Genomic DNA, 14,776 nt, shown 5'->3' with positions numbered 1-14,776 from the left:
CGCGATCTCGGCTCACTGCAACCTCCAACTCCTGGGTTCAAGCAATTCTCCTGCCTCAGCCTCCCGAGTAGCTGGGATTACAGGCACGCACTACCACGCTCAGCTAATTTTTGTATTTTTAGTAGAGACGGGGTTTCACCATGTTGGCCAGGATGGTCTCGATCTCCTGACCTTGTGATCTGCCCGCCTCGGCCTCCCAAAGTGCTGCGATTACATGCGTGAGCCACCATACCTGGCCAAGTTATTAAATAATTTTTCTCAGCATTAAAATACTCTTAAGTACAGAGCCGGGCATAATGGCATGCACCTGTAGTCCCAGCTACTCCAGAGGCTGAGGCAGGAAGATCACTTGAGCCCAGGTGTTTGAGTCCAGCCTGGGTCACACAGTGGGGGCCTCGTCTCAAAAAAAAAAAAAAAAAGAAAAAGAAAAAAAAGCTTTAAGTACCATAGGGGAGAATCTAGCACAGCAATGTGAATGTACTTAATACCACAGAAGGGTACACTTAAAAATGGTTAAGATGATAAGTCCTATGTTACATATATTTTTCCACAATAACAAAAGATGTGACCCAATATGAGTTCGCCCATTCATACAAGAGTGATTTCAAGGTGCTGCTAGAAAGCAAACCTTGGCTTAGGAAGGCCAGATATTTGAATCACGTATGATGAACTGGAAGCATGAACAGAGAGCATAATGAAGACTCCAAACCCGGGTGCGGTGGCTCACGCCTGTAATCCCAGTACTTTGGGTGGCCAAGGTGGGTGAATCACCTGAGGTCAGCAGTTCGAGACCAGCCTGGCTAACATGGCAAAACCCTGTCTCTACTAAAAATACAAAAATTAATTGGGTTTGGTGGTGGGCGCCTGTAATCCCAGCTACTAGGGAGGCTGAGGCAGAAGAATCACTTGAGACTGGGAAGTGGAGGTTACAGTGAGCTGAGATCATCCCACCGCACTCCAGCTTGGGTGACAAAGCAAGACTCCATCTCAGGAAAAAGGAAAAATTAAAAGAAAAAAAAAGACTCCAGAGCAAGTGTTTGTCATCATCCTTATCTGGGAAAGACAGAGCATCTGTCACCCTCTGCAGGGAAGAACCTGTCTAAACTGTGAAGGGCCACATTTCACCAGGGTGCCCTAAAGAGGCAGGATGTATAGCTGTACCTTTCTCTGAGAACTTTCTCTGACATACTTCTGACTTTTTCAGCTTCAGAATATCCTTCTAAGTGACCATGCTACACTGTTTTTGTTTTTTCTTTTAATGAAATAGCAAAAAACACAAAGCAAATCTGTGCTGGAGGAGGGCAGTCCTTAGAATAAGAATAATTCTTAGAATAATAAGACTGATTGCTTTCGGATCGGAACTTCCACCTGCGGTGTGGGCGCCCACTCAATGCGGGCTGTTCTGTAGAAGTAGTGAGCAGAACTCAACGTTTAGTCATTATATCCTGCAAATGGAAACTGGGTAAACCTGAGTCGAATAATAAAGGAACTTTAAAATGGGAAATGAGACTCTTGGTCATAGCTTGCTCTCTTTTCTCACAGCTTCTGGGAGTGCAACATTTGGGGACAGCTGGATAGGAAAGAAACAGCAAATACTTTTTAAAAATCTTCTTGGAATAAAGAGTAAATCAAGCAAACAGTTATCAGTTCGTGAAGAAATATTTGTGAGTACCCTTTATACATGTAAAACATCCCTGTTCTTTCTTTGGGGAGGGACATATCTCACTCTGTCACCTATGCTGGAGTGCAGTGGCGTGATCATGGTTCACTGCAACCTCCGCCTCCCAGGTTCAAGCAATTCTCCCACCTCAGCCTTGCAAGTAGCTGGGGCTACAGGCACATGCCACCATGGTCAGCTAATTTTTAAATTTTTTGTAGAGATGGGGTCTTGCTATGTTGCCCAGGCTGGTTTGAAACTCCTGAGTTCAAGGGATTCACCTGCCTCGGCCTCCCAAAGTGCTGGGATTACAGGCGTGAGCCACCATGCCTGGCCTCAAATCCCTGTTCTTAAGAAGGTTGCTATCACATGGAGAAGATAAATACAGATCGATCATAGTGAGATGGACAGATGACTCTATATCTGTCAATGGGGAAGATATAAGAGACTACAAAAATTCAAAATGAGCCACAGTCTAGAGATTTTCAGGAAGGAAGAAATTACTATGGACTGCGATGGTCAAGAAAAACTTTACAGAGGGGGTCAAAGTTTGAACGAGGCCTTGAAAGCTGTTCAATGTTCTGGTAGGGAAAAAAAGAATAAGAATAGATTTCCAGGGAGGAGAACAAGCATGCACAAAGGCACAGAGGTGTCTTTGGAGCACTAGTGAGCAGCCAGTCAGGCTAGAGCTATGGGGTTAATGCAGTTCACTGAGTGAAGATCAGACCATCGCTCCCAGTTCTCTGCTCGCTGTCAGGTGACTGGGCAGTAACTTCCCCCAGAATGGGTGAAGCTTATTTCCTTGCTTCACTTACGTTGGGTTTGGCCATGTGACTTGCTTTGACCAAAAGAATGTGGCAGATGGGACGATGCATGGATTCTAAGCAGAGAGCTTGAGGTGCAGAGTGTGTTTCTGTCATTTGCCTGTACTCTTCCCATTGACCGTGGGAAGAATATGTCAGAGTTCTGTGCTATCCAGGGACAATAAGAGAGGCGTGGGGCCAGGCGCAGCGGCTCATGTTTGTAATCCCAGCATTTTGAGAGGCCAAGGCTGTTGGATCACCTGAGGTCAGGAGTTCGAGACCAGCCTGGCCAAGATGGTGAAACCCCATCTCTACTAAATATACAAAATTAGCCGGGCCTGGTGGCACATGCCTGTAATCTCAGCTACTTGGGAGGCTGAGGCAGCAGAATCGCTTGAACCCGGGAGGCAGAGGTTGCAGTGAGCCGAGATCGTGCCATTGCACTCCAGCCTGGGCCACAGGAGCAAAACTCCATCTCAAAAAAAAAAAAAAAAAAAAAAAAGACATGGACCTACCTAAATCTAAGTCTAAGTCATACTCTGGAGCTAAGGACAGGGAGCCTGCAGACCCTGGAGAGAGGAAATGTCTGTTTCTGCAAACCAGTGGGATTCTGAGATAGTATTTTTTTCTTTTTTTTTTTTTTTTGAGACAAGGTATTGCTCTGTTGCCCAGGCTGGAGTGCAGTGGATCATAGCTCACTGCAGCCTTGAACTCCTGAGCTCAAATGATCCTCCCACCTCAGCCTCTTGAGTAGCTGGGACCACAAGTGCATGCCATCACACCCAGCTAATTGTTTGATTTTTGCAGAAACTGGGATCTCACTATGTTTTCCAGGCTGGTCTTGAATTCCAGATTTCAAGTGATCCTCCTGCTCTGCCTCCCAAAGTGTTGGGATTACAGGTGTGAGCCACCATGCCTGGCCTCTAAGGTTGCCTTTCATGCATCAATACACTGACTAATCACACACGCCCACACTGGCTGGTGAGAGGATCCAGGGCACCGAAGTCATGGGTAGACCTTCCTTTAACACATTAGCCCATGCTGGGGACCATAAAGGTGATTACTGTATAACTTTCCTTCTAACCACACCTGGTCCTGGATGGTCAGAGACTGCCCTTGGTGGGCTGAGGGAGGCTGGAAGGGAATGGAAGAATGATGCCACAAGGTATTAATACTTTTCTCCCACAATAGCTGCCAGGCTGTGGCTGAGACACTTCTACACCTGGGCAAAGAAGTTGTGTTTCTGTCTCTGCTCCTCACTCATGCAGCCACCAGTAGAGTATAATCATCATCAAATTTCAGTTAAGAAACAGAATAATCTGTGGAATAAAAGTTGCCTAAAATATCAATAGTGATTATTGTTAAAGAGTGAGATTATGGGTGATTTAGATTTCCTTCCTTATATTTTTCTGAATTTTCCAACTTTTCCTTTTATGATAAATTGATATTATTATTATTATTATTATTTTGAGACAGAGTCTCACTCTGTTGCCCAGGCTGGAGTGCAATGGTGTGGTCTCGGCTCACCGCAACTTCCGCCTCCCGGGTTCAAGCGATTCTCCTGCCTCAGCCTCCCGAGTAGCTGGGACTACAGGCACACGCCGCCATGCACGACTTGTTTTTGTATTTTTAGTAGAGACAGGGTTTCACCATGTTGGCCAGGATGGTCTTGATCTCCTGACTTCGTGATCTGCCTGCCTCGGCCTCCCAAAGTGCTGGGATTACAGGCGTGAGCCACCATGCCTGGCCAGATATTATTTTTAAGTTAGCAAAAGAAAGTTATTAGAATAAATAAAAAGTAGCACAGTAAGGAACTTATCTGAGGAAATTACTTGAGGCACAATCTTACATGAACTTACTTTACCTCATGTAAGTTTGCGCCTTACGTGAACTGACTTTACCTTATGTAAGGTTGTGCCTTACATGAACTGACTTTACCAATTCCTTTTCTGAAAAAGAGATTCTTAGGGCTTCTAGCAATAAGAATGGCTTACGTTAATACCAGAATGATTTTCCATGTTCATACTCAGTCCTCAATTCTCAGATCTCTATTTTGGTTTCAGGTGACAGGGTTTAGGACACGCTATCCCAAACTATGGCACCTTGTCATTTGAGAAAACAGCAGAAGCAGGAAGGTCCCTCTCACCTTTTCCTGTCCTTCTCTGAAGCAGGTCTTAAAAGAATCCTCTGACCTTTCTCTAAAGTAAGTCACAGGATCCTTGTGAGACAGGCGCCCACCCTATACCCAGAGGAAAGGAATGTCCCTGTCTCTGAAGACACAGGGACCCAGAGAAGAATTGGAACAGGCCTTGCCAAGTTTCCCTCAGTTTATTTCCATTAGATCATACAGTTTTGTCCTGCAATCACACTTCTGCACGACTGTCCACAAAAATACCCACTTCTTCCTGTTTCTTCAGATCTTCATTTCTGAAAGCTCCTGTGTTACTTACATTAAATAAATTTCTGTGCTTTTTTTGTTGTTGGTAATCTGTCTTTTGCAATAGCGACCTCAGCCATAAACCTAGCAATGGGTTAGAAAACAGCTCTTTCTCCCCTACACAGGCAATGTCACTGATTTTTGTACAGTAGGCTTCTAAACTAAAGCTGCCTTTATGAGGATAATACTGTTCTACTGCCCCGGCCCACTTTCCCAAAAGAGACCACATCCCCTGTGCAAGAGAGTCTCTGTAGGGGAGAAAAAGTCTTACCTTTTCCTCACCCATTGCAGAGGTCATGGCTGATACCCCTAGAACAAGAGAGAGAGTAACAAGAGAAAAGCAACACAAATTCATCTAACCAAAGTTTTACGTGACATTGGAGCCTTCAGAAATCAAGACCCAAAGAAGCAAATTATGTATTTTTATGCTAAGTAGAAGACTGAACTCTGAGCTTTCTTTTTTTCTTTTTTAGACAGATCTCACTCTGTCACCCAGGCTGGAGTGCAATGGCATGATCACGGCCCACTGCAGCCTCGACCTTCTAGGCTCAAGTGATCCTCCCACCTTAGCATCTTGAGTGGCTGGGACTACAGGGATGTGTCACCCCGCCCAGCTAATTTTTAATTTTTTTATAGAGATGAGGTCTCACATGTTGCCCAGTCTGGTCTCAAACTCCTGGGCTCAAGTGATCCTCCTACCTCCTAAAGTGCTGGGATTACAGGTGTGAGCCACTGTGCCTGACTTTTTTTTCTCTTGCCAGGATTCCTTTTTTTATAAAAAAAAAAAAAAAAAAAGAAAGAAAGAAAGAGAAAGAAAAAGAAAGAAATGCATAGATTATATGCAATCTTGCCCAAATTCCTTCCTAAGGGCCAGGGGAGTCATAACCTATAAACCACAAAATCTCGTGAGACAGGTTTTTAATTAACCCTGTAGAGTGTAGCTTACTTTCCAACCTGATTCTGTTATAGTATCACATAAGAGACAGCAGACCTCCTTATCTTCACTTAGGCATTCCTTTCTGTTGACTTCAAGTCTTTAGATAAAGCTCAGTTCTTTCAACCAATTGCTAACTCAAGAATCCCTAAAATCCACCTATGACATGTAAGTCTCTGCTTTGAGATGCCCTGCCTTTTTGGGAACCAATGCATACCTTCCACATATTGATTTATGATTTTACCTGCAATTCCTGTCTCCCTGAAATATATAAAACCAAACTGCAAGCCAACTGCCAGGGGCATACTTTTTCAGGACCTCCTGAGACTGTGTAATTTGAGCTCAATCACTCGTATTGGCTCAGAATAACCCTCTTTAAATATTTTGTCATAATTTGTTGTTGTTTTTTTTTCATCATCAATCTGATGAAAGAAGTGGGTAATTACGGAGAAACATGATCTAATGGCAATAAACTGGGGGAGCTCAGCAAGGCCTGTTTATTTTGATTTGTTTCTGTGTCTCTGTGTGACACTCTTTACCCCCCGGGTATGGGGCAGGACGCTTGCCACAGGAGGACCTTCCAGGGGCAAAGGGAGGAGGTCAGAGAGTGATCTTTCTAGGTTTCGTGGCTTGCTTTGGGGAGAAGAAGTTGAGTTTCTATAATCTGCTTCAGGGGATAAATGCGGGAAGGAGAAAGGAGGGTGGGAGAAGGTCACAGAGATCGTCTGGCTTCTTAGAAGGTCCTTCTAATCTCCTTCGGTTTAAAGTACTCAGCATGCCACGGTGCCATAGTTTAGGGGCACTGTGTTCTGAGTGCTGGCATCCACCTAGGGCCTATTGACTGTTGAAGATGAGAAATGATGACATAAATTATTATTTCATAATAGGCACAATGGCTTTGTAAAGCAGAGGACAGTTAACCATGGGGAAGCCTGAGCCACTCATAGTGAGCCACCATTCAAGGCCAGGGTCTTTCTTTTTTTAAGAAATTTATTTATATTTTATTTTTTTTTAAAGAAATGAGGTCTCCTGTGTTTCCAGGCTGGTGTTGAACTCCTAGCCTCAAGTGATCCTCCCACCTTGGCCTCCCAAAATGCTGAGACTGCAGATGTGAGCCACTGTGGCTGGCCTTGGCCAAGGGTCTTTCAACTGTGTCCCCCCGCCCCTCCATGTCCTATAATTACATGAAGCCCCTCCAAGAGCATGCTGTGCAAATTGTCACATCCTCAGTCTTGAAGTGTACCATTTTCTAAAGTGGACCTGCCTGAGAATGGACGGCCCCTTTCACAGTTGCCTTTTTGCATGTTAGAAAGGAAAATCTCACCTGCACCCACACAGAATCTTACTGCCCCAGGGTAAGGCTCAAAGGCCCTAAACAAAAGGACAACTTGAAACACCAGTGCAGAGAAAGAAGAAGACTCATCACAAATCCTTTTGGAAGTCATGTGGATTCTAATTCTTTGCTTTCAACATAATAGAAGGTACCTAATTATCTGGTCAGCTAATGGATGAAAAGAACCATCATTGATCCTCCTGTGGCTTTTGGCTAGTACCTTGGAAGGAGTTCAAAGAATTGAATGGCATTCTTCTGTTCCCATCTACTTATTTATGTGAACAAGGTTTCTCAATATAGAAAGTACTCAACATCTGTAAAAATGAAAAACTGGAATGTAATTGATACGGAAATTCATCCTTTGATCCTGGAATTAACCAGGGGGAAAATGGCTCCACCTAATCTATTTCTAACATTAAGAGATGTCCCCTCCCCATTGTTTTTTTCTTGGTTTTTTTTTTTTTTTTTTTTTTGGAGATGGAGTTTCATTTCACTCTTGTCACCCAGGCTGGAGTGCAATGGCACGATGTTGGCTCACTGCAACCTCCACCTCCCGGGTTCAAGCGATTCTCCTGCCTCAGCCTCCCGAGTAGCTGGGATTACAGGTGTGTGCCACCATGCCCAGCTAATTTTTTTTTGTATTATTAGTAGAGACAAGGTTTCATCATGTTGGCCAGGCTAGTCTTGAACTCCTGACCTCAGGTGATCCAAAGTACTGGGATTACAGGTGTGAGCCACTGTGCCTGGCCTCCCATTTTTGCTTTTTATATTTAATTAATATCAACATTTATAATAAAAAAAGGTTTCCATGTTGTTTTGGTCAACTGTGATTTTTTAACCCTTAAGTGTCCTATGGTGACAGAAAAGAAAAGCTCACCCATCAATTTGTAAACATAATTAGTTGAAGAGGAGTATGGGACAGAGAATAATAAAAGACTTTTCAGCATATCAATATATTACAATAGGATAAATCTTTGTGGAGAAAATGAAATGAGAACAGTTCAAAGGGAAAAAAAAGGAACAATATAAAATGTCCCAAATGTTGAAAAAAGCTTACTGTACATCACCAAAAGTGAAGATTAATGTCAATTATGGACTTTGGGTGATAATAACGTGTCAATGTAGATTCATCAACTGTGACAAATGTGCCATGCTGGTGGAGGGTGTTGATAGTGGGGGAAGCTGTGTGTGTGTGAAGGCACGGGATATATAGGCACTCTTTCTATTTCTGTCCAATTTGACTGTGAATCTAACTGTTCTGAAAAGAAAGTCTATAAAAAAAATAAAAACTTATTCATGTGCTTCTTAAAAAGATGATGGTGGGAATCAAATTGTCATGGAACTGTATTTAGATTCCGTTGAATAGTTTTTTTAAACTGTCAACATTCAAAATATGTTGGACATGGCATTCTTCGTATCTATTTAAACTTGTAGGCTGGGTGCAGTGGCTCATGCCTGTAATATCAGCACTTTGGGAGGCCGAGGTGGGCAGATTACATGAGGTCAGGAGTTCAAGACCAGTCTGGCCAACATGGTGAAACCCCATTTCTACTAAAAATACAAAAATTAGCTGGGCATGGTGGCGCATGCCTGTAATCCCAGCTACTCAGGAGACTGAGGCAGGAGAATCGCTTGAACCTGGGAGGCAGAGGTTGCAGTGAGTCGTAATCATGCCACTACACTCTAGCCTGGGTGACAAAGCAAGACTCCATCTCAAAAAATAATAATAATAATACTTAATAAATAAACTTGTGATGAAAAAATTTGGATGTCAACAAACAAATGTGTGAGGTGGCACATGGTTTTTCAAACTTCTTCTAGGGTTACGCAAGCACAGAGTTTGAGATCCATTTATAGAGGAGCCATCGTCTGAGGTTGGCTATAGGGGCTATGTGGGAACAGATAAGTAAGCTGAGGAAGGAAGTCCACCAAAGGGAAGAAGAATGACACAGCTGTGCACAGGGACAGAGAGTGACAAAGAGAGATGGAGACCCAAGGGAGGGCTGGGACCAAGATGCTTGCCATCATGATCCCAGCAACGCTCCAACCCCTGCACCAGTCCCTGGGAGGCCTGACTGTACTTCCTATCTTTCATTCCAATGAGATGCCTCTGGGTCCTTTCAGTAATCTGAAAAAATTCTAATTAGAGCAATATCTGTTCTTATACCCAAGGATCACCACTGAGAGTTGATGGCAGGAGCTAACAGTGTCTGTGCACTCAGATTTCAGCAGTGGCTCTGGAGAACCAATGATGGTCTTGCACCCTCACCAAATCTCAATAGTTAGACTCATACTTGGCTCCCACCTCTTGGGAGTGAAGCTAAAACACAGACTGTTCCAAAAAGCTGATAAGTTACTTTCAAATGGAACAGTGCATAACAGCAGCCATCAGAAGAATCCATTAAGAGTTACTCTGTTTTCTCTCATTTAAAATGGGGTGATCTCCTATTGCCTCCCCAAATGTAGACAAGTTATCCTTTTGGAATTCCTTCCTAATTAAGCATCTTTCTGTTCACAAATTTGCAGAGTTTAGTTTCTCTATATTCATTTATTATAGATAATCTATTATACAGAACTTTACTGTAGATGATTGCTGAATTTCAGTTGAGATCAAACCACTTTACTTTTATGCATAACTTCACAATGTGGCAAGTGGTTTTCACGCTGGATTTGATTTTGTGAGGTAGGAAGTACAGCAGCATCAACCATTTTACAAACTGAGAAGTGAATTTAAGTGTTGTCAAAGAGCACACCAAGATCACACAGCAGGTGACATTTGAAACCTAGGTGTGTGAAGCCACATTTCCAGTCACCAGTGGAAATGGATGCCTAGCAATTATGCCTGCACAAGCATATCACTAATGTCTCTGAATTCTTACTTATTATTGCTTCTGAAAATGGAGCTCAAAGCCTCCCTCTGCATTCACTTTCTTGCCTCTCCCAGGCACTATCCCCCAAGACAAATAATTTGTAAAAGACGTCTGTTAAGTATTGAAGACTTCAGTATTGGTACTTTAAGAATGAAATTTTAAAGAGTTTTTTACAGTTTGATAATTTTCCAGAAAAACTGATATTCTGGGCCAGGTAAGCTCTTTCTTAATTAAGCTGCAAATAAGTATTAATCTGTCTTAGTCTTTTTTCTGTTGCTATAGCAGAATACCAGACAGTGGGTAATTTATAAGGAAAATAAGTCTATTTGGTTCATGGTTCTGGAGGTTGGAAAGTCCAAGGACATGGTGGAAGCTTCTGAGGAGGGCTTTCATACTGTGTCATAACATGGTGGAAAAGCAGAAAGCAAGTAAGCAGGCATGAAAAAGGCAGCAAGAGCAAGCTGAGCTCACTTTTATAACAACCATGTTGCCCAGGCTGGTCTTGACATCTTGTGCTCAAGCAATTCCCTTGCCTTGTCCTCTCAAAGTCCTTTTGGAATTCCTTCCTAATTAAGCATCTGGAATTACAGGCACGAGCCACTGTGCCCAGCTTTAAACAATCAAAGGGTATTAGCACAGGGCTTAGACAAGAAGACTTTAGGTATTTCAAATTACAAAGCCTCCCTTTTAGGAGCCATGACATCAATGAGAATGGTCACAGCCTGCTTCTCTCACTCTAAGGTCAGCAGGCAGAAGCCACTATGTATGCAGAGCACTGGCCAGAAGATAGATTCAAACACTGAGAAAATGGAAATACATTTACTTAAAATTGGCCACTTCAAAATTGCCTCCACTTCAATTTTGGTCTTTAAATTGGATTGTAGATTAGGAGAATGTATAAAAGTTGGCTTTTAAGAACATATTCTTGTGCAAAATAATTCATGAGGAGAATTTCTGCTTCCCGCTATGTTACAGTAGTAATGGTTTGGATTCATGGCCTGGCCCAAATTTCATCTCTAATTGTAATCCCCAGTGTTGGAAGTCGGGCCTGGTGGGAGGCAATTTCTAACAGTTTAGCACCATGTCTTTAGTGCTGTCTCATGATAGAGTTCTTAGGAGATCTGGGTGTTTAAAAGCATGTTGCATGCCCCTTCTCTCTCTTCCTCCTGCCCCAGCCATGTAAGGTGCTCACTCTCCTTCCCCTTTACCCTCTGCCATGATTGAAAGTTTCCTGAGGCCTCCCCAGAAGCAGATGCCACCATGCTTCCTGTACAGCTTGCAGAACCATGAGCCCATTAAACCTCTTTTCTTTTTTTCTTTTTGAGATGGAGTTTTGCTCTTGTTGCCCAGGCTGGAGTGCAGTGGCACGATCTTGGCTCACTACAACCTCTGTCTCCTGGGTTCAAGTGATTCTCCTGCCTCAGACTCCCTAGTAGCTGAGATTACAGATGCCCCCCACCCCACCCCACCCCCACCATGTCTGGCTAATTTTTGTATTTTTAGTAGAGACAGGGTTTCATCACGTTGGCCGGGCTGGTCTCGAACTCCTGATCTTAGGTGATCCACCCGCCTCAGCCTCCCAAATAAACCTCTTTTCTTTATAAATTACCTAGTCTCAGGTATTTCTTTATAGCAGTGTGAGAATGGCCCAATACAAGTAGCTTGCTGTACACAAAACCGCTAGAAATGCTGGATTTAATAAAAAATCTGTGTGAAGGCATTAGAGAGCTATTGAAGCAATTAGGACGCAAGAGGTCAAGATCTAAGACAGAAATGAACCATAAAGTGGTGTTCAGGTCTCCAGAAAGCCACACTTCCCCTCAGGGCATTTGTTGATGCTTAGTCTAGGGTGAGAGACTGGGAATCATGGCAAAGGATTTGAGCAGGCACTTCACAAAAGTGGGTATTCAAATGGATAATAAACATTTGACAAGATGCTACAATCACTGGCATCAGGAAAATTCAACTTAAAACCACAGAAGATGCCACTACAAACCCCTAGAATGGATAAAATTTAAAAACTAATGGTAACACCAAAGGCTATCAAGGATCTGGAACAACAGGAATTCTCATACAATGTTAATGGGAGGCTAAGTCATAGAATCTGTGTGAAAGCTGCTTGGCAGTATCTACTATAACTAAACATATTACCAGCCTGGCCAACATGGTGAAACCCCGTCTCTACTAAAAATACCAAAACTAGCCAGGTGTGGTGGTGAGTGCCTGTAGTCCCAGCTACTCGGGAGGCTGAGGCACGAGAATCACTTGAGCCAGGGAGGTGGAGGTTGCAGTGAGCTGAGATTGTGTCACTGCATTCCAGCCTGGGTGACAGAAGGACTCTTTAAAAAAAAAAAAAAAATAGGCTGGGCGCGGTGGCTCATGCCTGTAATCCCAGAACTTTGGGAGGCTGAGGCAGGCAGATCACATGAGGTGGAGCTCAAGACCAGTCTGGCCAACATGGTGAAACCCTGCCTGTACTAAAAATACAAAAATTAGCCAGGCATGGTGGTGGTTGCCTGTGATCCCAGCTGTGCAGGAGGCTGAGACAGGAGAATCGTTTGAACCCAGGAGGCAGAAGTTGCAGTGAGCCTAGATTGCACCACTGTATTCCAGCCTGGGTGACAGAGCAAGACTCAATCCCAAAAATGAAATAAAATAAAAAATAAAACTAAGCATATGCACAACCTGTGGTCCAGCAATTGCACCTATAGGTATATATGCAAGAGAAATGTCTACACATGTCCAACAAAAGACATGTACTGTATAAGAATGCTCCCAACAGCATTACTTGTTAAAGCCCCACGCTAGAAACAAGTCAAATATCCATCAGCAAGACAATGGATAAATAGGTTTTGGTATAGTCACACAATGGAATTCTAACAGTGAAAAAGAATAAGCTAGTGCTATGGGCAATAGCATGAATGAGAGTTGAGCCAAAGCAAAGCTAAACAAAACCAACCCGGGCAACATGGTGAGAGCCTGTCTCTCAAAAAAACAAAAACAAAACTTGGCCGGGTGTGATGGCCTGTGCCTGTGTTTCCGGCTACTCTGGTGGCTGAGGCGGGAGGCTTACTTCAGCCTGCAAGGTGGAGGTTGCAGTGAGCCAAGATCGTGCCACTGCAAGATCTGGCTGGGCAACAGAGCGAGACCCTGTCTCAAAAAGAAAGAAGTACTGTGATATAATTCCATTTCATATATAAAGTTCAAAAAGAGGAAATGCTAAGGAGATAGAGGCTAGAATCATGACGACCTTTGTAATGGGTAGTAAGGACTGGGAAGGGCCAGGAGGAAGGCCGCTGCAACTCCCTGAATGCTCTGTTATCTTCATGTGGGTGGTAATTACATGGGTTGGTTCACTTTGTAAAAATTCAGAGTGTACCATTATGATATGTGCACTAGTTCATTAGTTACCATGGCAAACTGCAGATGCCCACTGAAGGACTGAAAGACATGCCATCCCCAAAAATGCTAGATTGGTGCACTGATTACTTCTAGTTGAAAACATTGGAGAAACTGCGGTTCCAGAAAGGGTGAGCTGACCTCCTCTTCCTGCAGGCAGCAAGCCATCAAGATTCCTCTGGGAGGGGAACCCTCAGCATTTCGGGGCGAGAAAATAGCCCTTATCACCAGAGACTGGGAACGGGGCTGCAAAGGAGCTGAATAAATATACTCAACAAAGGAACCCTTATCTTCCACTATAGGTAAAGTAACCCTTATCTCCCCCCATATATCTTCTGGTGATGCCCTCTAGTGAAAGGAAAATAAAAACGCGGGACCCCAGTTCACGCTGCCAAAAGGAATAAAGTAAGCTGAAAGCTGAGTCATGCAAGACGTTGCCTTCCCTTTTGTTCCTAAACAGACAGCTACAAATAAAAGGTTAAATATCTCCACAGGGAGCAACTCTATGTTCATCTTATCTTCTGTGAAGTTCCAACTTACTGAGTGCGAGAGGAATACAGCCATTCACTCTTCCCCTACCTGCTCCTTTTCTCTTGCAATGTGTGCGTTACCACACCCCTCCCTCTTTCCCCTCCTTGACTTTTCCGCTTTACTTTTTTTTTTTTTTTTTTGAGATGGAGTCTTGCTCTGTCACCCAGGTTGAAGTGCAGTGGTGCTATCTCGGCTTACTGCATCCTCTGCCTCCTGGGTCCAAGCAATTCTCCCTTCCTCAGCCTCCCAAGTAGCTGAGATTACAGGAGCCCACCACCATGCCTGGCTAAGTTTTAAATTTTTAGTAGAGATGGGGTTTCTCTATGTTGGTCAAACTCCTGACCTCAAGTGATCCGCCTGCCTCAGCCTCCCAAAGTGCTGGATTACAGGCGGGAGCCACCGTGCCTGGCATCCCCTTTAAATATTGAAGCCCTCAAATTCATCTTTGGAGAAGGGCACAGACCACAGACTGTTTCTGTGATTCTGTTTGTTTGTTTGTTTGTTTTCTTCTGGGCATGTCCTTAAGCCTTGGCAAAAGAAACTTCTAAGCTGATTGAGACCTGTCACAGAGACTTTCCGGTTTACACTCCCCTAGAAACTTTACTGCCCCTAGCCAGATTCCCTTTGTTCTGTCATTTTTTTTTCAAATTTATTATTTGTTTAAAAAGTATAGAAGCATCTTGCCTCGGCCACTTCTTTAGACTTGACTCTTGTGAAGATCCCCATGTAGATGTAAAACTGATAAAAATGTGCATACTTTCCTCTTGTTAATCTCCCTGGTGTCAACTTGGTTTCTAGATCCAGCCTAAAGG

General features: G+C 43.5%; 1 protein-coding gene across 2 annotated transcripts in view, besides 1 other annotated feature; it reads right to left on the bottom strand.

Moving 5' to 3' along the window:
- APBB1IP (amyloid beta precursor protein binding family B member 1 interacting protein) overlaps positions 1 to 14,776 on the bottom strand; it is a 129,463-nt gene that overhangs the window by 37,156 nt on the left and 77,531 nt on the right. The window lies entirely within an intron of this gene.
- Positions 1,134 to 1,183: a silencer, noted in NCBI's record as "silent region_2236". NCBI's record gives its function as "represses an Ori minimal core promoter by ATAC-STARR-seq in GM12878 lymphoblastoid cells {active_cell/tissue: GM12878}" and the evidence as "EXISTENCE:reporter gene assay evidence [ECO:0000049][PMID:35858748]".

This window comes from Homo sapiens, chromosome 10 (assembly GCF_000001405.40).
Source record: "Homo sapiens chromosome 10, GRCh38.p14 Primary Assembly".
In the NCBI taxonomy this organism is placed as follows: Eukaryota; Metazoa; Chordata; class Mammalia; order Primates; family Hominidae; genus Homo; species Homo sapiens.
The sequence above is the reverse complement of the archived record's forward strand: the minus strand, read 5'-3'. Positions and strand labels throughout refer to the sequence as shown.